Source organism: Homo sapiens, chromosome 12, assembly GCF_000001405.40.
Source record: "Homo sapiens chromosome 12, GRCh38.p14 Primary Assembly".
NCBI classification, from domain to species: Eukaryota; Metazoa; Chordata; class Mammalia; order Primates; family Hominidae; genus Homo; species Homo sapiens.
Window position 1 is genome coordinate 82,918,636 of NC_000012.12, and position 27,978 is coordinate 82,946,613.

The following is a 27,978-nucleotide window of genomic DNA, read 5'->3' on the forward strand; positions in this document are numbered from 1 at the left end:
GCAGACCTGAATGTTAAATAGGTAAAAATTAAATATTAAGAAATTCATTTATCTTTTTATTTTATCTTTTTTCTTTTCTTCTCTCTCTCTCTCTCTCTCTCTCTTTCTCTCCCTCTCTCTCTCTCTCTCTCCCTCTCTTTGAGACAGAGTCTTGCTCTGTTGCTCAGGCTGGAGTGCAGTGGTGCGATCTCGGCTCACTGCAACCTCCACCTCCCAGGTTCAAGTGATTCTTCTGCCTCAGCCTCCTGAGTAGCTGGGACTACAGGTGCCTGCCACCACGCCTGGCTAATTTTTGTATTTTCAGTAGAGATGGGGTTTCACCATGTTGGCCAGGCTGGTCTTGAGCTCCTGACCTTGTGATCCGACAGCCTTGGCTTCCCAGAGTGCTGGGATTACAGGCGTAAGCCACCACACCCAGCCTCTTTTTTAACAAAACAAAACAACACAAAGACATGTATTTGGCTCACAGTTTTAGAGACTGGGAAGTCCAAGAGTATTGTGCTGGCATCTGGCAAGGGTTGAACTGTAACAGAAGGCAAAAGAGAAAGAGAGCACATATGAGAGAAAAAGCATGAGGGGCTGGGCTTGCTTTTATAACAGTTCACTCTAGTGAAAACTGACCCACTCATGTATTAACATTAATGCATCCATGAGGGCTTCACCCTTGTGACCCAGTCACTTCTTATTAGGACCTACCTCCCAATGCAGTTACATTGGGAATTAAGTTTACAGCATGCTGAGTTTTCAGGGCACATGCAAACCATACATTTTGTACCAGGCACCCAAAATTTATGTCCTTCTTATAATGCAAAAATACATTCATTTCATCCCCAAAGTCCCAAAAGCCTTAACTTGTTTCCATCAACTCAAAAATCCAAAGTCCAGAGTCGTATCTAAATGAGATATGGGTGATGCTCAAGGCATGATCTGTATAGAGGCAAATTCCTTCCAGATGTGAGCCTGTAACATCAAAGCAAGTTATCTACTTCAAAAATACAACAGTGAAACAGGCATAGGGTAGGCATTCTCGTTCTAAAAGGGAGAAAGAGGAAAGAAGAAAAGAGTAACTAGTCCCTACTAAATCCATAACCCAGTAGGGAAAACAATACGAAGTCTTAAAACTGGAGAATAATCTCCTTTGTTTCCATGTCCCATATCCTGAGCACACTGATATAGGGGTTGGGCTCTCAAGACACTGAGAACTGCCACGCCCATGGCTTTGCTGGGCTCAGCCCACATTTCCGCTCTCTCAGACTGGCATCGTACACTGGTAGCTCTACAGTTCTGTGGTCTTCTGAGCCCTCCCATGGCAATATAGGCTTTTTCTAGCCTGATTCTCCAAATTTCCAACCTCCACCCGTTATGCAGTTCCAAAGCTGCTTCCATATTTTCAGGTGTTGTTATAGCAACAACCCTGCTCTAAGTATCAATTTTCTATATTAGTCTGTTTTCTGCTCTTCTAGCTATTTTTTCAAAGAGCAGTGTATGCCAAATTATGAAAAACTCATTATAACTTCTTTTATAATTAATGAATATATATAATTTCTTCAAATTACTAACATAAGAAAAAATCTTAAAAAACTTTCTCAAATCTCCCTGTATTGATTTTGTGAAGTATATCAGAGATATGAAATTGCAATAGTTACTTCAGAGTAAGTTTGAATTTACTCTATAAACTTAAAACTACCATGTATTTGAAATTGGAACTTTGAAAAAATTTAGAGGTATTTATTGTAGCAGATCACAGCATTTCTAGAGGGACCTCACATTTGATTTTCTCTTTAGAACAACTTCAGCAAGATGGGAATATTTAATTGTTCTTCTGCCTTTCAAAGAACATCAAACCATGGCAGACTGTGGACTAAGTACAAGAGAAGCTTTCATTGTGAATTAACATCAAGTTTCTTAGTAAATGGATACCTTTTAGAGGTAGTTTAGTTTAATATCAATGTGAAGGGCCCTTGAGATATAAGAGTTATTCCTACTTCTTCACTTCTTGATTTTTTTTAGCAGAAGAATTTCTTTTTATTTTTGAATATAAAATAACTCCACAGATCATATTTTCTAGAGCTTATCCAGTGATATTTAGAAGTGTCTGTTTGCCTTCTCTTAATATACTAATTATATATGCTTAGTCTTAGGATTGAAGTTGCTTACTTATTAAACAATGCTTATTAAATCTCTGTCACATGTAAAGTATCTTCAGGGCACTAAGAAGAATGGATAAATATACCAAAGTTCCCAGCCGGCATCTTTGAGCAACAACCATTTGTTTACGTAGGCAGGATATGTTCAGTTCCAATATGTTAACAGGAAAATATGACATATAAAATTATATTCCCAAAGAAATGTAAAACATTTGATATACTACTTGGCATTAATTTTTCTCTGGTCTGAAAAATATATTATGAAATATGGATACCAGATAGTTTTATTTTGTTACTACTGAGGGTTTTTTTTTCCCCCTAGCAGTTCTGAGAGGATAACTCATTTGGATAATTTTGTTTTCATATTTATGCTATAGTCCCTAAATTAAAATTATTAAAACATATTAAGTACCATCTTATGATATTCTACCTTCTATTCAAACTCAATATTGAGAGGGTGAAATAGCCTTGCCTCTGACCACATTTGGATGCCTGGAAACATATCTGAATCTTCCTTGTTATTACATCTGCTACTTAGGAGGCTTAACCTCAGTTTTCTCATCTGTGAAATGAGGATAGTAATACTATAGACCCCAAATGTTTGTATTAGTTTAAATGAATTGAGGAGACTACCAAGGATGTAGTAATTGTTAAATAAATGTAAATACTATTATTGTTGTTATTTTTATTATAATTTTTAAAATTTCTTCTTCATCTCCTTCTCCCCTTCCCATTCTTTCGCTCTCTTTAGGCTGTCACAGTGCTGCAATGCAGGCCCTTGAGATGGAGCAGTAGCCCTTCCAAGTTAGAGCAGTTTCATATGAAGTTTATTTTGTTTAAAACAGGAATGAAATGAATACTCTGAATATTTGGAAACTTCATTGGGAAAAAACTTTTCAAAATTAGATTGGGATTTTGGAACAACAATTATATTTTTTGAACTTCAGATAAATGCTTTATTATATTATATCCAGGGTTGAAAGTGTGATTTGCATTCATCTATAGACATACTCTGTTAAAATGTGGACTTTTAGGCTGGGTGCAGTGACTCATTCCTGTAATCCCAGCACTTTGCAAGATCAAGGTGGGAGGATCGCTTGAGTTCAGGAGTTTTTGACCAGCCTGGGCAACATAGTGAGACCCACCTCTACAAAAATTAAAATTAAAAAAAAAAAAAGGCCAGTCATGGTGGTGCACATTTGTAGTCTCAGCTACTCGGGAGGCTGAGGTGGGAGGATTGCTTAAGCCCAAGAGGTTGAGGCTGCACTGAGCCATGATCATGCCACTGCACTCCAGCCTGGGCAACAGGAAAAAATAAATGTGGACTTTTAAAGCATTTGTAACTGTTATTTACACTTCATCACACTTCACTGAAAGAACTTGGAGAATTTTATTTCAATAAAATTGCACTTTTAAAAGATTATATGAAATGAATACACCAATAAAATATACAGGCTTAAACATGTAAAAAATGCACATTATATTAAATGTTAATGAAAATACAAAGTCTTTGAGTGGTCCAAAGAATAAGTACCAAAGTGAAAATTTGAAGATAATCCCAAACATCTGTTTTGAATTATCTTTCTAAAAAAAAGGTTAAGTGTATGTTAAAACCTTTTATTCCTTAAGTAGGATATAGCATAACTGCATCTCTATTTTAAAAGAAGATGATGTGTGACCTTAATTTTATTTTGTTTCCTTTCTTTTCCTACCTTCCTTTTCCTTCTCTTTCTCTTTTTTTTTCCCTTCACTGCAGTTTCAGGTTAATCCCTGTAAGCTTCCTCTATTTTATTCATGTATTAATCCCCTTTTATCTGTATTCTTAACTTCGTTTTCTCTTTGCAGCATAGACAGCTGATCTAACATATTTGATTTGTATGTAATGTATTTGATTTAAAATATACCTTTGATTTAATTGTAATATACACTATGTTAAATACACAGTGATATTTTGGGCATGAATCAATTTTTAATATTTATCATTGTTATGACAATGCATTCCTTTTTTTTAAATTCTCTGTAGGCTGTTATGGTCCATTCATGTAACAGTATTTACATGGTATTAATTGTTCCTAATGCTGCATAGGAGTGTGTAAAGTGAATGACCCACATTGTACTCCCATGATGGACATATTGTTCCTACCCACTATCAGCCAACACTAAGACACTTGAATTTAAACATTCTCTTACGTGCTTTCTAAGGTGAGAATTTATGTGGGAGTGGGATTGCTAGACAGAGGTCCATTTTGACTTAGTCACTTACATTTGTTCATTTGACTGAGTACTGTCAGATGGCATAACAGAATGTCTGCCCCGGGCCACACTGCCACCAGCTGTGCACAGGATTCTTCCCCAACATCCCTACCAGTAGTTGACCTTATCCATTTTTCTATTTTCTTGCCAGTCTAGGTATAAAAGATATCTTGTTGTTATAATTTTCATTTCAGGGGGGTTACTAAGAAATTTGAGTATTAGTTTAAATGCTTGGTATTTATTTTGGTTTTCCTTTTTGTAGAATCCTATTCATGTCCTTTGCCTATTTTTCCTCTATTGGATTTCTTATTTTTTTATTGTTGCTTTGCAGGAGTTCCTTCTAGTTTCCAAGCACAGACACTTCTTTGTTTAGATGTTTGAAATATCTTCTCCCAGTATATTATACATTTAACTTGTTCATAATGTTCTTCACTAAATAGAAGTCCTTTTTGAAGTACCCAAATCCATTAATTTTTTTTTTACATTTCAAATGATATTTGGGGCTCTTTTTAAGAAGTTCTTTTCCATTCCACAGATATATTCTTCTACATATTCTTCTGTTAGCTTTACTTTTTCACATTTAACTTTTTAAGCTATCTGGGGTTTATCTTTGTTTTTCATGAATATGGTATAAAAATCAGTTCTCATTGTTCTCATATATTATGGCTAAAATATAGTTTTTGAGTTTCTTAATAAATGATGCTAAAATATTGATTGTATTTACATAGAATTCATAGATTAATTTGGGGAGAACTGACATCTTTATAATGTTAAATTGCCCCATCCATGAGCCTTGGAATATTCCTCCATTTCTTTTAGGATTTGGTTTGCATACTTCCAGGTAGTCAGAAAGGTCAGATTTCAAAATTGACATGATATTAAAAAGTTGATTGGGTTAATATGATCAAATTTCTTAAAGAATTAACTCATAGAATCAACTATGAAGAGTTATGGCAGCTCTTCAAAAACCTAAAATCTATTTTGATAAACACAGCATTGTGGAGCAATAATTTAAGGAAGATAGGATTTGAGAAGGAATTGTTTTTATATTTGAGGATAATGAAATCCTCTGTCAATGCCCTTCAGCCAAAGACCACTAGGGCCACACCTGAAGTAAAAGTTGGCTTAACTACTTCTTGCGCTGAGAGAGAACAGCTACACCATGGAGAACTCTGAGGCATCTCATTATATGACCTATTATAGGATTTTGACTTTGGTTGGGTGATTTGGAAGAGAGTCTAAGGAAGTGAGGGTTTTATTTTGATTGGATACCAGGATAATTCTATGTCTGGATAAAAAATCATTCATATAGCAAGAGAGGAGGATGTTTGGTAGTTTGTGGGTTATACAGTGACGTTTTCCTTTTTTTGTGTTTATACAAAATTATGAGGTGGTCTTTATTTGTTTTGCTTTATCATGATCTCAGAGTAACCTTGTCTGAAGCTGGTAATTGTGTATAATTGTGTGTGTACAACAGGAAAACAAGATTTTTGCAGGCATCTAGGGCAATTACTTAATCATAAGAAATAGGAGAGATTTTCATTTGGATAAAAAGCAGGAAACCTAGTTTCAGATTGTGACTTTGCCTCAGTTAACCTTGTTGATGATTTTTAATTTCTAAGTTGTTTTCTCACTTTGAAATAGCCATCTCTGCTGCTCATCTGTCCTGTTGGAAACCACTGTAATTTTGCCATCTAGATTACCGCAGTTGCCTTCCAGCTGGTCCCCCTGTTGCTCCTTTAGTTCGCTTGCAGTGAGTACCTTCTCTGCAGAGGAGTCAAGAGTGACATTTCGAAAATGAAAGTCAAATCACAAAATCCCTCACTGAATATTTCCCCCCAAATATCGCACATAAAATAACCCCCAGACTTCTTATCGTGGCACATGAAACCCTATGTGATTGGACCCTTGCCTATCTCTGTGACTTCATCTTGACTTTCCCTCTCATTTTGCAGCCACTCAACTGACTGGTGTTGTTCCTGGAAACATCAAGTTCATTTTTGCCTTAGATCCTTTGCTGTGTTTTCCTTATGTGGCATCAGCAGTCCTTGCCAGGCTTGCTCCTTATCCTTTAGCTCGTAGAGATCATACCTATTTTCCTAAATCTGTGATATCCATACCTAAATTATCCTCATCCATACCATGTTACTTTATTTTACATTATTTATAACACTTATCACTATCTGAAGTTAATTCATTTATTTTATTGTATAGATCCCACCCTCCCTCCACTATCTCCAGCATAAGCTCACATGGGTGGGAATTGACTATTTTGAACAGTACTAAGTGTCCAGCTCCTAATGAAGTTCCTGGCACAATAGGTGCTTAACAAATATCTAATAAATTAATAAATATTTAATACATTAATAGATGGATAAATGAACAATCAACCAAATAAGTGGACATGTATTCTAGGTATAGCGACAGGCATACCTTATTTTCTTGTATTTTACTTTTTTGTGCTTCTCAGATATTGCATATGTTTTTTTAACAAATTGAATGTGGCAACTGCATAAACCAAGCTGGTCAGTGCCGTTTTTCCAACAGCAAGTGCTGACTTCATGTCTCTGTCATATTTTGGCAATTCTCACAATATATTAATTTTTTAATTATTATATCTGTTATGGTAATCTGTGATGTCTGATGTTAACATTGTGACTATGCCCATATAAAATGGTAAACTTAACAGATGTTGCGCATGTTCTGTTTCACTGATCAGCCCTTCCCCAATTTCTCTCCCTTTCCATGGGCAACCCTATTCCTTGAGACAAAAAAAATATTGAAATTAGGCTAATTTTCCAATGGCCTTGAAGTGAAAGGAAGAGTGGCATGTCTCTCACTTTACATCAAAATTTAGAAATGATTAAACTTAGTGAGGAACACATTTCAAATACACGAATGATAAGAAAGTGGAACAGACTTATTGCTGATATGGAGAAAATTGTTTTTTTTTTTTGTTTTTTTTTTGACAGAGTCTCACTCTGTCGCCAGGCTAGAGTGCAGTGGTGCGATCTCGGCTCACTGCAACCACTGCCTCCCGGGTTCAAGCGATTCCCCTGCCTCGCCTCCCAAGTAGCTGGGACTACAGGCGTGTGCCAACACACCCAGCTAATTTTTTGTATTTTAGTAGAGATGGGGTTTCACCATGTTGGCCAGGATGATCTCGATTTCCTGACCTCGTGATCCGCCTGCCTCAGCCTCCCAAAGTGCTGGGATTACAGGCATTAGCCACTGCGCCCGGCCACGGGAAAGTTTTATTGGCCCGGATAAAACATCAAACCAGCCATAACATTCCATTAGGCCAAAACCTAACCCAGAACAAGTTCCTTAACTCTCTTCAATTCTATGAAGGCTGAGAGAAGTGAGGAAGCTGTGGAAGAAAAGTTTGAAGCTAACAGAGATTGCTTCATTAGGTTGAAGGAAAGAAGCCAGCTCTGTAACATATTAAGTACAGGGTGAAGCAGTAAGTACTGATGGAGAAGCTGCAGTAAATTATGTACAAAATATAGCTAAGATAATTGATTAATGTGGCTACAACTAAACAATGGGTTTTCAGTGTATACAAAACAGATTTCTATTGGAAGAAGATACCATATAAGACTTTCAAAGCTAGAGAGGTGTTAGTGCCTGGCTTCATATTTTCAAAGGACAGGCTGACTGTTATTTTTATGGGCTAATACAACTGGTAACCTTCAGTAGAAGCCATTGGTCAATTAACATTCAAAAAATCCTAGGGCCCTTAAGAATAATGCTAAATCTACTCTGTTTATGCTCTGTAAGTGGAACTGGATTTCCGAGATGACAACACATCTGTTTACAGCATGGCTTACTGAATATATTAAGCTTAATGTTGAGTCCTACTGCTCAGAAAGAAATTGTTTTCAAAAGATTATCATTGCCAGTGCACCTCGTCACCGAAGAACTCTGACAGAAATGCACAAGGAGATTAATGCTGTTTTCATGCATAGTAACACAGTATTTGTTCTGTAGCCCATGGATCGATCAAGGAATTATTTTGACTTTCAAGTCTTCTAATTTAAGAAGTAACTTTTTGTAAGGATGTAGCTTCCATAGACAGTGATTCCCTGGATTAGTCTGGGTAAAGTAAATGGAAAACTTTTGGAAAGAATTTGCCATTCTAGATGCCATTCAGAACATTTGTGATTCATGGAATGAAGTCAGAATATCAACATTAGCAGGAATTTGGAAGAAGTTGATTCCAATCCTTATGGATACCTTTGAGGGGCTCAAGACTGCAGTGGAGGAACAAACTGCAGAGGTCGTGGAGAGAGCAAGAGAACTAGAATTAGAAGTGGGCCTAAAGATGTGACTGAATTGCTGTAATCTCATGATAACGTATTTACAGATGAGGAGTTGCTTCTTATGGATGAGCAAAGAAAGTGGTTTCTTGAGGTGCAGTCTACTCCTGGTGACCATGCTGTGAACATTGCTGAAATGACAACAAAGCACTAGAATGTTATATGATCTTAGTTGATAAAGCAGTTGCAGGGTTTGAAAGGATTGAGACTAATTCTGAAAGAGTTCTATTATGGATAAAATGCTATCAAATAACATCACCTGTTACAGACAAGTATTTCGTGAAAGGAAGAGTTAATTGATATGGCAGACTTTATGTTGTCTTATTTTAAGAAATTGTCACAGCCACTCCAACCTTCAGCAACCATCACCCTTACCAGTCAGCAGCCATCAGCGTTGAGGCAAGACCCTCCACCAGCACAAAGATTAAGACTCACCAAGGGCTCAGATGATTGTTAGCATTTTTTAGCAACAAAGTATTTTTTAATTAAGGTATACCATTATTTTTTAGACATCATGCTATTGCAAACTTATTAGACAACATTATTGTGTAAATATAACTTTTATACACACTAGAAAACCAAAAAAAAATTATGTGACTGACTTCATTGTGATATTCACTTTATTGTGGTTGTCTGGGCCTAAACCCACAACATCTCCAAGGTTTTCCTTTATATGTCTGTTGCCAACAAGAGAAGCACTTATTAGTTTATTATTTATTTGAGATATAAGTATCAAAGAAATCAATTTATTTCATTGGAAATAATGCCTTAAAATATTCAAAGGTATGTCTTTGCTATTAGTTTTTTTTTTAATCATCTATATTCTAAGACTACTATCAAAATGGGATACCATTATAATGAGGATTTCCTGGTGCTTAAATTAACATTTGAATGCATTTCTCAGAGAGATTCCAATGTAAATATATTCTCATTTAGTAATCACACAATCAGAGCAGAACTTTGGGAGGAATAGGGGTTTAAAAATTGCGTAATTATTAGAAATTTCCATAGAGGGATATCTTATTAATTTGTGGTAGATATAGAATACCTATGATATCACGCCTATTATGTTTGAAGATAATTATAATTTATTTTACTAGTAGTTTTATTTTACTGGTAGTTTTAGTAGTTTAATTTGACAATATTTTACACTGTTTTGTCTTTTAATTTAAAGGATACAATTTTCTATGGACTCATAATGCCAAGGCCTATGTGAATGTTGGTTTGCAGTGAAAGATGAAATGTGGTATGAAAATGTTAGGCAGAGGGGAGAAAAAGTTTGGAAACAGCCAGTGTCGGATTAGAGTTTTTGCTGTAACACTTCAGTATTAACTTTACAAATTCTTTAGTGCCTCTGTCTCCTCATCTGGGGAATGGGCACTTATGTGTGGAACTGTGTTGAGAGCTTGGTGAGATGATATATGTCAAGTGTGTGGCATGGTACATGGCACTATTAGCTGTTGCATAATTGTGAGTTCAATGCCTTTCCTCTGTTTTCCATTGGAAGCAAAGAAGGTATATGACTTTGCAAACGTGAAGGATTTGTGTTCTCTGTAGATAACATAAGGGCATAAAGTGTATTGTATTTAATGTTATTTTTGTAAGAAATGCTTAACTATTGTAAATTGTAAAGAGTATCAAACACAATAATATTAATGATAATAGCAATATTTATTGAGGGTTTACCATGTTTCAGGCACTGTGTTTGTTTTTTTGTTTTGTTTTGTTTTATTTTTTTGAGAGAGGGCCTCACTCTGTCGCCCAGGCTTGAGTGCGGTGGCGTGATCATGGCTCACTGTAGCCTCGACTCTATGGGCTCAACTCTGTGGGCTCAAGCGATCATGACATCTAACACGCCAAGCTAATTTTTGTATTTTTTTGTTGAGACGAGGTTTCACCATGTTGCCCAGGCTGGTCTCAAACTCCTCTTGAGCTCAAACAGTCCACTCGCCTCATCAGCCTCCCAAAGTGCTAGTACAGGTGCAAGCCATTGTGCCCAGCCTCAGACACTGTCTTAAACAGCTTGTTTATATTAACACACTTCATCATGAAACAGATGAGACACTATTTTCCCACTTTACAGATAAAGTAAACTGAAGCACAGGAGTTTTAAATTTCTTAGAGGCACACAGGCAAATCTGAGATTGAAAGATTCTGTGCTCTTTTTTTGCATTAAAATTGATAACTCAAAACCCTTTCATTTTTCAGGTACAGTCAGTAGTCACCCAACTAAATATATCTCAACACACATGACCCTTCTTCTCATCCTCATCATTTGCTGGGGGACTCTGCTTTCAGGACTCAATACCCCATCTCCTTGTAGGAAGTAAGAAGGCAAGAAAAGAAGCCAAGGTTGAGGGCAAGGTTCACTGGAGAGCCGTACTATGGGGGCAATTATTGGTGCTGTGCCTTTTGTTATTTTTAATATTGAAAAATTACTATTATTTGGGGAGAACAAAGGGTACACAGAAAATATATTTAATTTTCAACATGATTAAGTGTAGAAATAGCGATTTTCAGGGAAGTGAGCTCATAAGCAGAAACAGTATAAAAGAACATTATATCTATAATGTTTTATTGATGTATTCTGATGCCTGGCAAGCTTCTTTATAGCTTTGATCTTGTTTAGTTTTTTTGCTTTTCATCTCCAGATCTTCTATGCCATTTATCAGTTTTTTCATACTTGAATGAAATATTTGTTTATTTTAAGATCATTTCTTGCAGTTTCTGGCCCAGTAAGTATACAATAATTTCAGACCATGAAGACCCCTACTGAAATCTGGAAGAGCATGAAGCCTTTGTAGGTGATCTTAAGATAACATTGTTCTTGGCCTTATGATGAACTGTATATGTATATCTGCTTTGAGACATAATAATTACTTTAATTTTTTAAGGCTTTGATTATATTTAATCTCCTGGCCTGATGAAATGTTAGAGTATAAAGGAAATACATTTTCCTTCTTAAAAATGTTTTATGATGGTTTTCTCTCCCTGTGGTACTTCCTGATGGCCTGATATTATGTCATGTATAATTGGATTGATGCTCAGTCTGAAAATTTCTTTTTCTTCTTGGCAGCATGGGGTAACCTTGGAAATGTTCTGAAGAGTCAGAGCAAAATTTCTGAAGCTGAAAGCGCCTATAGAAATGCTTTGTACTACCGCAGCAACATGGCTGACATGCTTTATAATTTGTGAGTATGCCTTGCTTCTCTGGTTTGGTTCGTCTTTGAAACCTGCAGTGAGAGGGACTATTGATTTAACTGCTGGAAATGGAGATGATGATAGCTATTGTCCTGAAATAGTCTTTTTGTTAATCATGCCTCTGAGACTATTAGGTGGATGGTGTTTGTGATTTCTTTGTTTCGGGCCACATCATCAATATTCATGTGTACTTATATGTTATGCCTGAATTTTTTGGAAGTAGTATGCCATGTAACATAAATATTGGTTTAAATATTTTTTAGTTCTTAAAATGTTTGTTCCATTAATACTTAGATGAGTTCATAAAATAAGCCTGTTATGTATGAGAGTTATGCAAATCATGTGTTGATTATTAGCATTATTATTTTTATGAGACAGTATCTCACTCTGCGGCCTAGGCTAGAGTGCAGAGACGCTGTCATAGCTTGCTGCAGCCTCAAACTCCTGAGCTCAAGCAATCCTTCTGCCTCAGCCTCCCAAATAGCTAAGACTGCAGGTGCCTGTCACCATGCCTGGCTAATTTTTAAATTTTTTTGTAGAGATGTGGACTCACTATATTGCCCAGACTGGTGCCTAACTCCTGGCCTGAAGCAATTCTCTTGCCTCACACTGCAAAGTGCTGGGATTATAGGTGTGAACCACTGTGCCCAGCCTTGATTATTAATGATAGATTTTGTCTTCCATTAAAAAAAAAATTGCTGTATCAAAGTATATATAGAATATGTGCTATACCAGAAAAGTGAGCGAGTAAGGTTATGGTTCTTTTTTGTTTTCCTTTTCATAGGCACTGATGATTATCAGTGAGGTTGGGATAGTTTAGAATGTTCTTGTATGTTGGGTTAGAAAAATCCCTAGGGGAAAAACTGGTTTTGTTCTTTGAGTGGACAGTCCTAGCTGGTACAACGAGATGTGAGTAGATAAATGCAAACCAAACTCAAATCTCTTCTTTGTCTCTTATATTTATGAGAACATTTTGTTTATAAGTAACAGAAATCCAGTTTAAGCTTGCTTGAACACACCAGAGAATGTATAAACTCCCCTAACTGGAAATTCCTGGGTTGACTAGATGCAGGCCTAGTTAGATCTAGTGCCTGATTGTGTTTCAGGAATGTTTCTCCATTTTGTGGCTCTGGTTTCTTCTGGGTTTGCTCCATTTTCTGTGGTACTCTATAACAATGGGAAAGATGATTCCTGTGTCTTTATAAACATAGATAGCATCCTTACTCTTCTCAATTTCAGAAGGAAAGAGAACTGTTTTGTCTCAGTGTCTGTATTAATCCCGGAAAAAGTTGTTGGACTGACCCTCCTGCAGTTCTGTGCCGTCTCTTGGTTGAAACACTGAGTGATGTGGGAGGGGCAACGAGTCACTTCCATTGACAGCACCTCCAGAGTTGGAATGGAATGGAGGCAAAACAGTTCTCTATAGGAAGATGACTGATCCTAGGTAAAATAAGGTGCTTGCGGCTTGTGTTTAATGAATGCTGTGTGATACTGACAGTATTAAACTAATCTGTAAACTTTTAAAATGTGTATTTATGCTCTGGTTAGCTGAATCTTTTGTATTGGCTAAGTCTAAAGGCACAGATACTTAAAAAAATAACTAAAAATAAACAGAAAAAATCTAGATATTTAAGGGAAAGCAGACAGGATGAGCTCAGTTTAATTTTTTGTTCATACGTTGACTTCGTGTTTAACCTCGTAGGCTTTAACACTGGGATCTCAATCTAGCGGCCTGTGGTCTGAATTAGGTCAGCAGATATGTTTTGTGTCGGCTTTCACAGTGTGTAATTTTTTTCTTTGTCACCTGGAATTCTTTCACATGAAGCACACCTGCTCCAGCACACTGTTCCTTCTACTTACTCCTCTTCTGTGTCCTGCTTCACCATGTATCTTACCATCATCTTTGCTGAACTAATTTGAATTTGTATCTTTTTCTTTTCTTGAATGAAAATACATATCTAGGTACTCCTACAAAGGCTCAAGTCCTCTTCATCTAAATAGTGTTATATTACTATATTTTTTATTATTTTTATTTTATGAAAAAGAATCTTATGAGTTTAATGTATTCACACATATGTTCTTTACACTTTTTGCATCTGAAAGTGATGTCAAAGGGGGCCTCTTGCCTTGCAGTATGGGATATTACTTTTCTGGTTCCGATCCTTCATACATTTTTGGAAGAAAAGGAAACTGAACAATGAACACCTCTTCATTGAAATGTTTCTCTCTGTCTTATCCAATAGTCCCTGGTTAAAACGTTGCCCACCTCTTTGTGATACCTGTTGGACAAGGATTCAGAGTGTTTATCCAGGCTTATTCTTTACTGAGAAGAGAAATGTATTCAATTAGAAAATTTCACTTGACATGTAATTTTAAAATTACATCTTAGGACTGTCTGTCTGTGGATGCATATATAAGTCATGACAGCATAGGAATTGACCTTCCCAATTCCTAGCGAAAAATCTGTACTGGAAGAGTGGTTATTGACAAGATCAGTTTTTCCCCGTAATTGTTGGAAATAGGTTATGTCGTAAGTGCCCAATATAGTTCCACGATATTTTTTACTAATATGATGGGTCTTTAAACCACACTTATCTGTCACCCTAAACGGAGAAGCTTAAATTCCACAAGAAATATTGGCAATGATTGGAAAGTATTGGCTTTGACAGAATTCTGATATCAATAATTCTATTTTAAAATAGGTAAATTTTTCAGTCATTTTAAATCAAATATTTTAAAAATACACCAAGATAGATCCTTTGCAATATATAATATTATAAATATGTTTGGTATCATATTTATAGGAACATTTTTTCTACTTATTTGCATAGGTAGAAAAAAGAAAAGTTTTCTCATAGAAAGTTCAGAGACTGTTAAATAGTAAATTTTAGTTTTGAGATGTACCTAATTTGCTCTGGTGTACAGAAGTTAGTCCTTGTTCTATCTTAACTCCTAAAAGAGAAGGAAATTGCTTTGCTCAGTCTTTCTAGGACACATAACGTGATAATACCCCTTTGAGATAATAGCATGCATTAATCACTTGTCCTATCATCAGTTACAGTTATGTCTCTTAAAGATGTTTATGACAGAGGCCTAGAACAAACCTAGTTGTATTAATTGGCGTGGAATACCTACATTTGTTCATGCATTTTAGAAGCTTTAGGGAATCGTAAGCTTCTGTTAGGCCCTCAACATAACTTCTACATCTAAGTAGCACATAGGAATATTGTTATAGGTAAAGACAGAGGAAAAATAGAAATGATCTTGGAAAATATAAAGTAAGCAATAGTATGAGTGATGTAGATTTATATCTGAAATTTAAGGAACATTACCTTATAAGATCATAAATATTTGAGGACAGCTTTTTTCAGGAATGAAATCAAATTATATCCAAGAGGTATATACAAAGAGTTATATTCCATGTTTGTAAAATGATGGGATAATTTTAATTTTTTTTCTTTAGTAGCAGTAGCTTCAATTACCTCTGTGTGCTAAATGTTCTTCTTAGTTCTTTACATATGTTATCATAGCTTTTCTTCAAAGGAAATCTATAACACAAGGAAGCTGAGACTCAGAGGTAATGTGTCTAAGGTCACACAGAAAATAAATAGAGGAGCCAATATATGAACCTAAGACATTCTGATTGTGTATCTGTGCAACACTTGTATTTCTTTTTTAATTTTTAAAATTATACTTTAAGTTCTGGGATACATGTGCAAAACGTGCAGGTTTGTTACATAGGTATACACATGCCATGGTGGTTTGCTGCACCCATCAACCCGTCATCTACATTAGTTATTTCTCCTAATGCTATCCCTCCCCTAGCCCCCCACCCCTTGACAGGCCCCGGTGTGTGATATTCCCCTCCCTGCGTCCATGTGTTCTCATAGTTCAACTCCCACTTATGAGTGAGAACATGTGGTGTTTGGTTTTCTGTTCCTGTGTTGGTTTGCTATAATTATGGTTTCCAGCATCATCCATGTCCCTGCAAAGGACATGAACTCATCCTTTTTTATGGCTGTGTAGTATTCTGTAGTGTATATGTGCCACATTTTCTTTATCCAGTCTATCATTGATGGGCATTTGGGATTGTTCCAAGTCTTTGCTATTGTGAACACTGCTGCAATAAACGTATTTGTGCATGTGTCTTTATAGTAGAATGATTTATAATCCTTTGGGTATATACCTAGATTGCTGGGTCAAATGGTATTTCTGGTTCTAGATCCTTGAGGAATCGCCACACTGTCTTCCACAGTGTTTGAACTAATTTAGACTCCACCAGCAGTGTAAAAGCGTTGCTATGTCTCCATATCCTTTCCAGCATCTGTTGTTTCCTGACTTTTTAATGATCGTCATTGTAACTGGCGTGAGATGGTATCTCATTGTGGTATTTCTTTAGGCAGAAATAAACCAAAGTTTTGGGAAAAAAGCCTCAATATATATGTTTCAAATTTAGAAAAAAATAACCTTTATATGTAGAAATAAAATATTTAGAATTAAATCTATTAGAGAATATAAGGTTTTAGTAACTGTTAGTGAGTTTACTGAACTCATGGTATAGAATTTTGGTAAAAAAAATATCATTGGGTTTGCATACCTGTGCTAAGAGCTGCCTTCAAGAAGAAAGTGCTACCTAAGGCATTTTTAATTCTAAATCTATTAATTATAATATCATTTGATATCATTTGAATCCGTGCTTACAGACAATAGTTATATAATATGAAATTTAAACAGCACTTAATTCTATTCTTAATAACAATAGATATCATGCATTTATTGTACAGCCTTGTATTTAGCCTTTTATTCATGTTGTCAAATTTACTAAAATCTGATATTTCATACAAGAAATTATTAAGACCAGGTTTAACAGATTTGCATTATGATGTTGATTTGTCTTTTCATGTATAATACATTTTCAGAGACAAAGCAGATGAATCGTGGCTCAGTGATTTACACAGTCAGATTTTATAAGTATAGAGTTCACTTTCAACCTCTTCGCTACACCACTCACTGCAATGTGAAATGTAATTGATTTTTAGACTAAGAAAGAGTCAATGTCCTTTTGTTGTTGTTATGGATTTGTTTCGGTCTGTTCCAAATGATATTTAAAAAGGTAATTCAATAGAGCATTAAATATTGTATTAGGAATTAGATTTCAAAATGCAGATGAATTTAACATGCTATAATCAATTCTTGATTATCTTACCTAATGGAAGAATTATGTCTGTTGATGATAGAGATTTTGCTACTATAAGTTAATTGTCATTTTGTTCTGTGTTGTAAGAATCTTAGTAAATATCCAATCTGAGAAGCTAAGAAATGAGCAAGAAAATAAACTAAAAATTTAAGAGTAGAGAAAATATAAATAAATCAGAATGCAGAGAAACAATAGGAAGTAATGCATAATCTAAGATCTTGTTCTCTGGAAGATCAGCAGCTTTGGGTAAGGGTAACGTAGGGCAAAATAAAAAATGTCAAATATACAATTTTAAGACTGAGAAAAGTTATAACTGGATATATGCTTAAAATAATAAAACACTAATAATATATATGAAAATCATACGAATATATATATACTTCTTCTTGGAAAATATTAATGGTCAATATTGGCCCAAGAAAAGATGGGCAATCTCAATCAAAAACCTTGGAAAACTTTGGAAACAATATTAAGGAATTATCTCGACAAGGAACTAAGTCAGGCGTTTCACAAGTGAGTTCTGTCAAATCTTCGATGAAGTGATATTTCATGCAATAATTAGACTTCTTATGTATTTTTTATGAAGCTAGATAAAACTGATTGCAATGTATCTGACTAAATTTAACACACACACACAAGGACAACAACAACAACAAAACAGAACAAAAAGCAAATAAACAAGAACCATACAACCCACAAAAGGCCAGTTACACAACAAATATAAATGTATATACATGTCTTAAAATTAATATAATGGATGTAGCACATATTAAAGATTTAAACACCATTATCAGATAGGCTTTAGTCTAAGATTTGTGGTGGGATATTTAATATTACAATTAAATTACTATACTCTTTCAATTTAAGAAGTCAGAGGATGAAAAAAATATCATCTCTAGAAATGCCAAGAAGGCATTTGACCAGCAGCTGCCTTGGAAAGCAAACTTATAAATAAACTAGGAATAAATAAATAATTCTATATCATAATAAATATCTGTCAAAAGTTAGTAGTAATTACTACATTTAATGTTGAAGCATAGTGGTCATTTCCATTAATATTCAGCTTCTTGGGGTAGTGACATTTTCTTATTCATTATTGTATCCCCCATCCCTAGAGAATTTCCAATTGCACTGATTTTTTTAAATAAGTTATGAAATCCATATCAGAGTAGAAAATATCCTATTTTTCAATAAGTGATAAGACTAGTAATGAGTATTAGGATAACCACATTCTTTGAACTATGTAAGTATATTTTGATCATTATCACTGTATCTGGCTTATTATAAAGAGCTTTCTTGAATTGGACATTTGTTGTTTCATTTTCTTGCAGTTTCAGAAACAAACACATTTATATTAGGGTTGACTCCTGTATTTGTTGTTTCCTAGGACTGCTATAATAAAAATACTACAAGGTACATAGCTTAAGATAGAAATTTATCATTTCACAGATCTGAAAACTAGAAATTCGAAGTCAAGGTGTTGGCAGGGCCATGCTCCCTCTGAAACCTGTAAAAGAATCCTTCCTTGCCTTTTTTTTTGTGGTTTCTTGGCAATCTTTAGCATTTCTTGGCTTGCAGCTGCATAATTCCAATCTCTGACTTCATTGTCACATGATGTTGTCCTGTGTATTTCTATCTTCACATCGCCATCTTCTTAAAAGGACATCAGTCATATGGGATTGGGGCCTACCCATAATAATGAATTACATCTGTAATGATCCTGTTTCCAAATAAGGTCACATTCTGAAATAGTGGAGGTTTAGGACTTCAACATATCTTTTGAGGGGGTGAGGGGGACATAATTCAACCCATCACATTTCCTTACCTCCCTGTTAGTAGCTTCAGTGTAAAAGAGATAGGGCCCAGCCGGTAATTTTTAATGGGGAGAGTGAAAGAGTGGGACAGGTAAGACTCCTTTAAAAAGCTAACATTTTGAACAAATGTCAATGGTGTGTGTGTGTGTGTGTGTGTGTGTGGATGTGTGTGTGTGTGTGTGTGTATATATATATATATATATATATATATATATATATATATATATATACACACATATATATATAAAATGATGCCAAGAAATCTCTTAGGAAGAGGTAGTTTAGGTTGAGACAGCAATGAAAGAAAGATGTGGTGAAGAATTGACACCATAGATTCAAACCTTTTTTTTTTTTTATTTTTTTTTTTTGAGACAGTCTTACGCTGTCGCCCAGGGTGGAGTGCAGTGGCGTGATCTCAGCTCACTGCAACCTCCACATCCCAGGTTCAAGCGATTTTCCTGCCTCAGCCTCCTGAGTAGCTGGGATACAGATACCCACCACCACACCCGGCTAATTTTTGTATTTTTAGTAGAGACGGGGTTTCGCCATGTTGGCCAGGCTGGTCTCGAACTCCTGACCTGAGGTGATCCACCCACCTCAGCCTCCCAAAGTACTGGGATTACAGGCATGAGTCACTGTGCCCGACCTTTTTAGATTCAATCCTAATAAGGGTATGAGAGATGTTCTTGAAAATTCAGGGCCAGGTTTTGAGAATATTTGAGAGGTTACAATGGTCAGAGATTGCAGAATACAATTGGTGAGACTACTTGACGTAGAGTTTAAAAACAGTTTGGCCTGTGAGAAGTGAGGACTGGTGGAAATGTGAGGAAAAGTAATACTTCAGGACAGGGTTTCCTACCAAGCTCCATAGTAGGGATATGTGTTGGGGATAGAGGGACGTGTTTAGTTGATGCCAGGTAAGCCGATTGGTCTCCTAAAATAGATAATTTCAGAGAGATTATCAAGCAGGAGTGCCCAGAAGTGTTGGGCATGTCTGACAGAGCAAATGAGACTGAGAGATTTTGTTATAATGCTGTTGGCTTGAGGTCACCAGTGCTCTTGGTGTACAACTCAGCCGGCCCTTTACTAATTCCTGGAATGAAGTGGGGCAGCTTGCAGGTACCTGTGTTTTCATGTGGCAAGAGCAAGGCCTAATGCCTAGTATATAACGTTCATTTTGTCTTAATTGGTAAATATCAATTAATACACAAATATACTCTTGTGAAACATTCAAATAATAATACTGAAGAATATGGAGTAAAACATAGAAGTCCCTATTATTGCATTCCTCATGTCCTTTTCCTCCTCTAGTATAGATCTTACTACGTTTTTGGTAAGCATTTATACATGTGGTTATGTATACACTTTTAAGTTTTTTCCCCTGCATATATGAATCATTATTAATTTTTGACTTTTTTACGTGTGTGCAGATACGTCAGAATTCGTATAATCGTCTTCATTTTAAGTTGTTTATATTGGAGGTGTTAAGATCAACAACATTAATGAATGCTCAGTGGGATGATTTCAAAACTATATTGCTTCATTTTCCATTTTTCTAATTACAAGTGCAGTTGAGTAATTTTTCTTATGTTAATTGGCTCTTTGTAATTTTCCTGGGGATTTACTGTTTATATTTCTTGTCTAATTTTCTATTGTGTAGGCTTTTTTCTTTTTCTTACTGAGTCGTAGGGTTGAAAACTTATGTGTAAGCACACAAACCTATTTTGCATATATTTTCAACTAATTTTTAACATATCACTTTTACTTATAGCATTTAGTGTAACTTTAATTTCTATATAGAAAAAAATCCCTAAGTTCTCTAATTTAAGCCCTCTGTATTTTGTGTCTCTCTGAAAATGACCATTTGCAGCCTAATATGCTTTTAAATTTGATATTTTTGGGGTTTTAAAGTTATTTTTGCTTCTTTGTTTAGATCATCAGTCTACTCTGGATTCATTATTTTTTTGTATTAAGGTATAATTTTTTCCAATGAAAACTAAAATTCCCATTATAATTTATTGGATACTTACCTATCATCTAGAATAAATTTACCTAAAGTGGATATGTTTACCTATCCAATTATTGGATAGCTACCTATCACTTAGAATAAATCCCTATATAAACACAGTTCATTGCTATGGACTCTATTCTGTTCTGTTGGTAACCCCTGTCAAGATCAAGTTGTTTCACCTACTATGATATGTAGGAAATTTATATTTTAAAAGGCAAACCTCTCATCCTTGTTATTTGTTTCCCACACTTCTTGATTATTCCTGTGTGTTTTATCTTCAATGTGAACTTGACCCATAGACTTCTTAAGTTAACTGGAAGTCCAGTTAGGGTTTTCATCGGTTTTGCAGTGATTGTATATTAAAGTAAGGAGAGCTGACATTGTTATACTCTTGAATTTTCTCTTCCAGATACATGTATTTCTTTTTCTTTCTTTACTTTTTTTTTTTTTTTTTTTTTTTGAGACGGAGTTTCGCTCTTGTTGCCCAGGCTAGAGTGCAGTGGCGCGATCTCGGCTCACAGCAACCTCCGCCTCCCGCGTTCAAGCCATTCTGCCTCAGCCTCCGGAGTAGCTGGGATTATAGGCATGCGCCACCAAGCCTGGCTAATTTTGTATTTTTAGTAGAGATGGAGTTTCTCCATGTTAGTCAGGTTGGTCTCGAACTCCGGACCTCAGGTGATCCGCCCACCTTGGCCTCCCAAAGTGCTGGGATTACAGGCGTGAACCACCGCGCCCGGCCAGATACATGTATTTCTACATTTCTTTCAATTTTCAAGATTTATTAAAATTTTGTATTTGGTTCTCAAAGGTCTCACATATTTGAGGTTAATTTATTCTTAGTTTTTTAGAAATTATTTTTAATAATGAGAATTAGATTTTTTATCTTTTATTCTATTTTAAATTGGTCATTCCTGGTTATTTACATTTTTTCCTAGATATGCGTAATTTCAATTTTTTGCTGTTGTTTCTGTATCATAAATCTTACTTTCATTAGAAGGTTCTTTCTTGGAGTTTTCCCAAATATGTTTTGCTTTTTTTTTTTCCTCTGGTGGGGCCTCTGCACATACTATTTGTGCTGCCTGCAACATTCTCTCTCTTTCCTTCCCCTTCTGACCTCTTTCCACCCCTTATGACATCTTTCTATCCTACCCCCACCTTTTTTGCATAATACCTATACATCCTTTTTTTTCTCAGCTTAAGCAACACTTTCTGGGGAGGTTTCTGGATACCTCTCCCACTTTCAGATGTGAAAGCCTCCTAGGTCTCACAAAGCCACTAATACTTGGCTCTTTTTAATCTGGATTATGTTAACATTTGTGATAGTATGTGCCTCTTTATATAAAGGAACATAGTATCACAAATGTTAACATGACCCAGATTATAAAGAGCCAAGTATTTATGGTATTTGTGATACCATGTCCTATACCATATAAAGGAACAAGGTATCACAAAATACCATAACGGAGAATACATAAATACGATATAAAGGGAACATGATATCATATATATAAAGGGGAACATGGTGTCACAAATGTTAATATCCAGATTAAAAAGAGCCAAGTGTTAGTTGCATTGTGATATTTAGGAGGGAGATCTATCTTTCTTATATTTTTTTTAAAAGATGGGATCTCACTGTGTTGCCAGGCTAGATTTGAACTGCTGGGCTCAAGTGATCTTCCTGCCTCAGCCTCCCCAGTAGCTGGGACTATAGGCACATGACACCACACCTGGCTCAGTGCCCATGTACCATTTTCCCCTAGCACTGAGCACAATATCAGGCACATAGGCTTCAAACTGTGTATATGTTAATAAACTAATGAATGAATTAATAAGCTAATGAGTTAAATCATGCATATGTTGATTAATAACCTAATGGACTAATTAATGAGATAATAAACTAATGAGTAATCTAATAACTGGATATAAATCAACAGAGTTCAAGTTTGCTGACCCCTTGTCCTGTCCTTGCAACCTGTCTGACCCACTTCTTTTCTAGCTTGCATTACTGGCCATGTGTTCTTATCTGATTCTGAATGTTGATTGATTCCACAACTTTTATCTATTATATATGTCTTTGAAACAATCATTGTCCACAAAGCATAAAAGCAGTAAAATTCCCTCCCTGAGACCATTGTTATTGTATACCTACTGATGTGGGATAATGATTTTTTGTTGTTGTTTTTGTTTTGTTTTGTTTTTTGAGATGGAGTCACACTCTGTTGCCCAGGCTGGAGTGCAGTGTCACGATCTTGGCTCACTGCAACCTCTGCCTCCCAGGTTCAAGCGATTCTCCTGAGTAGCCAGGATTACAGATGTGCGACACCATGCCTGACTAGTTTTGTATTTTTAGTAAAGATGGGTTTTCACCATGTTGGCCAGGCTGGCCTTGAACTCCTGACTTCAAGTGATCCGCCTGCCTCAATCTAGTGCTGGGATTACAGGCATGAGCCACCGCACCTGGCTGGGATAATGATTTTGAAATATAGTCTTACAAACTCTATTGTAAAGGATTAAGTTCTCTTTTCTTTCTTCCTACCAAACCTTGGATATATTTTCTTTATTGAATACACATTGAAAACATATTTTAATTCAGAATTGATAAGAGAATATAATGAATATGTTACTTAAATGGATAACCAGCCAAGGGATATTTCAGCAAAATACACTTCAATAGCTCCATTTGTTAATCAGAAAAAATTAAATAGTAAATAGTGAAGTATATACTTGTATTCTGATTTATTATTAATAGGATAAGATGTTTCCTGGTTCTTAAAATATCAGTCTGTCCTTTAAAGGGCTACTTGGGTTATAAGTGGCTATGTAACTGACTTTTGTTCATAGAAACATGTTGTTTAAATTTGTCTTTTAGTTTTTCAATTATAATTTGTAGAGTTACTATCATATTTTTCTGTAGGAAAAACATAAGAATATAAATAGCCTTTTGAAAAAAATTTTGAAAGTAAAAAGTAATTATTTGAAACTAGGGCAAATTGACAATGTTTAATGATTTCATCAACCAGCTATACATTTGTGAATGTAAATTCTTGAATATATTTTAACATTAAATTATCCATTCTTGAGTTTTGGCCAAGACATACTATATTCAAGATATTTAGCTAAGTCGTTCTTGTCAAGATGCCAGACATGGATTAAGACAAGAATTACTACATGATGACCTGGACGTCTGCAGAATGGTAAAGGAGAAGTCAGAAAGGATTTTATGGAGAAGCTAGAGTTAAAATACATCTAGCTTAATTTTTTTATTTAGAAAAAAAAACAAAAGATGAAACATTTTCTTTCTATTGCAGGTTTTATGCTGTTTAGAATCATGTGTGATTATTAGTTAAAATTATAAATTGTATATAACATAAAATTTTATCTTGCAGCATTCATTGGTTTCAGTAAGTTGCTGCAAGTGGTCTTAGGAAAGAAGCTGATCTGTTCAGGTGCCTGGTGCTTGGTTGCCTGGGGTGATTAGTCCTGGAGAGAGCTGCTTATATAAACAAAGCATGCTGAAGGCTAAGAAAGTCCCTCTGTGTCAGTGTTTTTAAGAGATTTCGTTCATTATATTGTCATAGGTACTAGAATGACTCAATCTGAGCAAGTCTATATGGGAATCACAAGTTTGTTTGACAAGCTTGTCTCTCAATGTGTTGAAAACATTTAATTTGTAACAGCGTCAATCCAAGTAGTATTGGATGAATAAATTTATAATGACATTCATCTAAGACAGCCTGATGCTATGAAACCTCTTGGCTGCAGCTCCTCCTTTCCTGGAAAGTGCTGAGACAATTGCTATTGGCATTTGACTCTAAATTTACTTTTCCAGAGCTTTCAAAGTTTCATCACCTCCTGCTCCCTACACACTTTTACATTTTGTACTCAGTTGTTGCACTAATATGGTCAGTTACACTGCATCCCTGCTAGTTTTGGAGGTATCTTTTTTGTCCACAGTTGATTTTGCACTCCTGTTCTCTGATTCACTGTGATTGATTTTACAGTTTAGCTCTCAAGGTGAAATTTATCTTCCTGCCACTCAAAATCCTCAATTCTTATAGCACCTATTTCAGACATCACTAGTTTTCACATAATTCTGAGAAAGAATGAGCAATTCTAAAGTTCAGTCAAGACTGATTATGTCTTTTGAGTATATTTATAAATATGAATTTACATTTTGGAAATAAGGATCCATTAATTTATTCAACAAATACTGAGTACCTTCAGAGTGATAGACATCATATTAAAAGATGGGAATAAGCTGACAAAGTGTAGTTTCTACTCTCAAGTAACTTGAAGTCTGGATGTAAAAATAGAATGTTATGTAATAAAGTGACATCTTTTCTGAGTGATATGCTTATATTATCGTGACAAGGTATACAAAGAAATGTAAATCAGCCTGAAGGAAAGAGAAATGAAAAAGAAAAGAATAGAGGAGTCATACTAGAAAGACAGGTAAGTAAGGTGGTTTGGGGGAATTACTTTTCAGTGTTGGCTAAGTTTGAGGTGACTATTGAACATCCAGTGGGCAACTGGAATGTGTTTCCATAGTTCATGAGAGCATTTTGAGCTAAAGGGTATAGATTTTGGTGTCATAATTATGTAAATTAAAACTGAAAATAAATAATGTGTATGTGAATAATATGCATAAGAATAAATGGAAGAACCATGGGTGGAATCCTAGGGAATACCGATATTTAAGGAGATCGATAGAAAAAATAGAACCCTGGCTGGGCATGGTGGCTCACACCTGTAATCCCAGCACTTTGGGAGGCCAAGGTGGGCGGACCACGAGGTCAGGAGATCGAGAACATCCTGGCTAACACGGTGAAACCCCATCTCTACTAAAAATACAAAAAATTAGCTGGGTGTGGTGGCGGGCACCAGTAGTCCCAGCGACTCCCAGGCAGGAGAAAGGCGTGAACCCGGGAGATGGCGCTTGCAGTGAGCCGAGATTGCACCACTGCACTCCAGCCTGGGTGACAGTCTCAAAAAAAAAAAAAAAAAAGGAAAAGAAAAAGAAAAAGTAGAAACCTAAAGTTGGCTTAAGGAGTACAGTAAAAGACTAAGTTGTGTGATGTCATTGAAGCTGTTGGTTAGGACAGTAAGATGGGAGAAAATGGCCAAAACCATGTACTATAGAGAAGTTAAATATTTCTATGGACTTTTTTGTGTCCCCATGGGAAAAAAAGATAGTGACATCAGTCCTAGGTGTAGAAACTTAAACATGTTATTCACTTCTCCTCCACGTGGTATTCAGAGAACAGCATGTTGCTATCACAAAACTACAGGGTATCATTCAGAGAGTGAATTTATCTTATGAAATATATGGACACAAAGACCAAAGAACTGAGATTCACACTAGGAGGTCTTTGATGGCTGGAGATGTAAATTAATATGTATTTGTTTCTATCACATAGTGAGGTCTTCAGTACCTCCTTAGTTCTTAAATGCTTTCAAATCAAATTGAATCAAACAACTGATTTCACACTCATTCCTCTTATAGCAATGGAAATTGGTGTCTAGAATTGCCTGCTGAACTAACTATTAAGCCTTGCACTCCCCACTCTACCCCAAAGCAGAATTGGGGGAAATCAGAATCCTTTTAGAAATTGGAGCCTGGCAAAAGAAAGATTCACTCATTCCTATGCTCATTTGTATTAAAGGTTTTCTCTTACAAACGTAGCTGCAAAATTGTATTATGTAGAAATATTCATTCAAGAGTGTAGAGTGAGTTAAACTATTTTCCATGTTGGAAAATGGTGAAAGACATTTTTCTGCAATCTCATTAAAAGGCCTTTAATTTTATTGTCGTTTTCATCCAGGACACTGTAGGTAAATTTGAGGGCATATATTAGAAAACCCATAAAAGAGGTTTATAAAGAAGTTCATAATCACATCCTGTTTTAATGCCTTTTGTTTGGTTTAACTTTAAAACTGATTGAAAGTTACTTAAATGGCCAGAAGCTTTCTGTTGTTCCTAAAATTACGCTAACATGGAAAGTGCAGGCTGATGTGCAGCAGAATTTCAAGTAAATTAATTTCAATTTTCTCAGAAGGAGGTTTTGCATTATGAAAAAAGTTTCTTATTTCTCTGCTCCTGAAGAAAAATGAACAGATGTAAATTTATTTGTGTAGTTCCAATCAGTCCTCTGCAGATTTCCAATTACTGTGAGTTAAGAATTATTTCCTAGACACACCAGGAAATATAGTAATATTGTCTTTCACTTAATTTACTTTCTTTCTTGTACAAAACCTAACTGTGGTTTCCCCTATATGATGGAAAAGTTACTTAAAGTGTAATTGAAGTTTGAAGGACATCTGGATATTTAGATGATAGTGAATTTAAAAAATGAATGTGTCATCTGCTGCTTATTTTTTCTTACATATTATTTCTACTAAATAATACATTATTTCTATAGCTAAATTATATCACTCATTTCTTTCAATTCTTTGCTTCAATGTTACTCTCTGAATGAGGCCTCCTAGCCAATTCTATTTAAATTAGCAACCCATCTGCCTCTCTCAGACTTCTGTTCCCCTATACTTTATTCTTTAAAACATTGCATGTATTACCTTCTAGTGAACTATATAATTTACTACCTATAATGACAAATAATGATATTAAAATTAATGTAAACCTAGTTTACTTTGTATATTGCTAAAATGTAAGCTTCACCAAAGCATTGTTTTTATATATATTCTTAGTGTCTGCAATAGTGCTTAGCATATGTGTTCAATAAATAATAGTTGCATGCACATTGATTTAGGTACATATGTTTTCCTTAAATTCCTCATGTGTGAAGGGTGTACATAGATTACTTTAGAATCTTTCCTTCTCTCTTTCTCCCTTCTTCTCTCCCATTTACCCCTGCAGAATTAAAGAATACCTAAGGATGCCCTTTTTGCTTCACATCTCCATTGCTTTTAATCATTGTGCCTCTCATTTCATTTTGCACTTAGCGACCCTATTGTTACAGATGATAAGCTGAGGGTGTTTCATGGCACAGGGTTTGGGTAAAAGTGATGCCATCTTGCT

General features: G+C 35.4%; 1 protein-coding gene across 6 annotated transcripts in view; it reads left to right on the forward strand.

Annotated features, from left to right (window-relative positions):
- Window positions 1–27,978, forward strand: part of TMTC2 (transmembrane O-mannosyltransferase targeting cadherins 2) — a 447,961-nt gene that overhangs the window by 231,730 nt on the left and 188,253 nt on the right. For all 6 annotated transcript variants that reach the window (XM_017018884.3, NM_152588.3, NM_001320321.2 and 3 more), the window contains one exon: window positions 11,796–11,910. In XM_017018884.3, coding sequence (XP_016874373.1) covers window positions 11,796–11,910 — 115 coding nt within the window. The remainder of the gene's footprint in view (window positions 1–11,795; window positions 11,911–27,978) is intronic.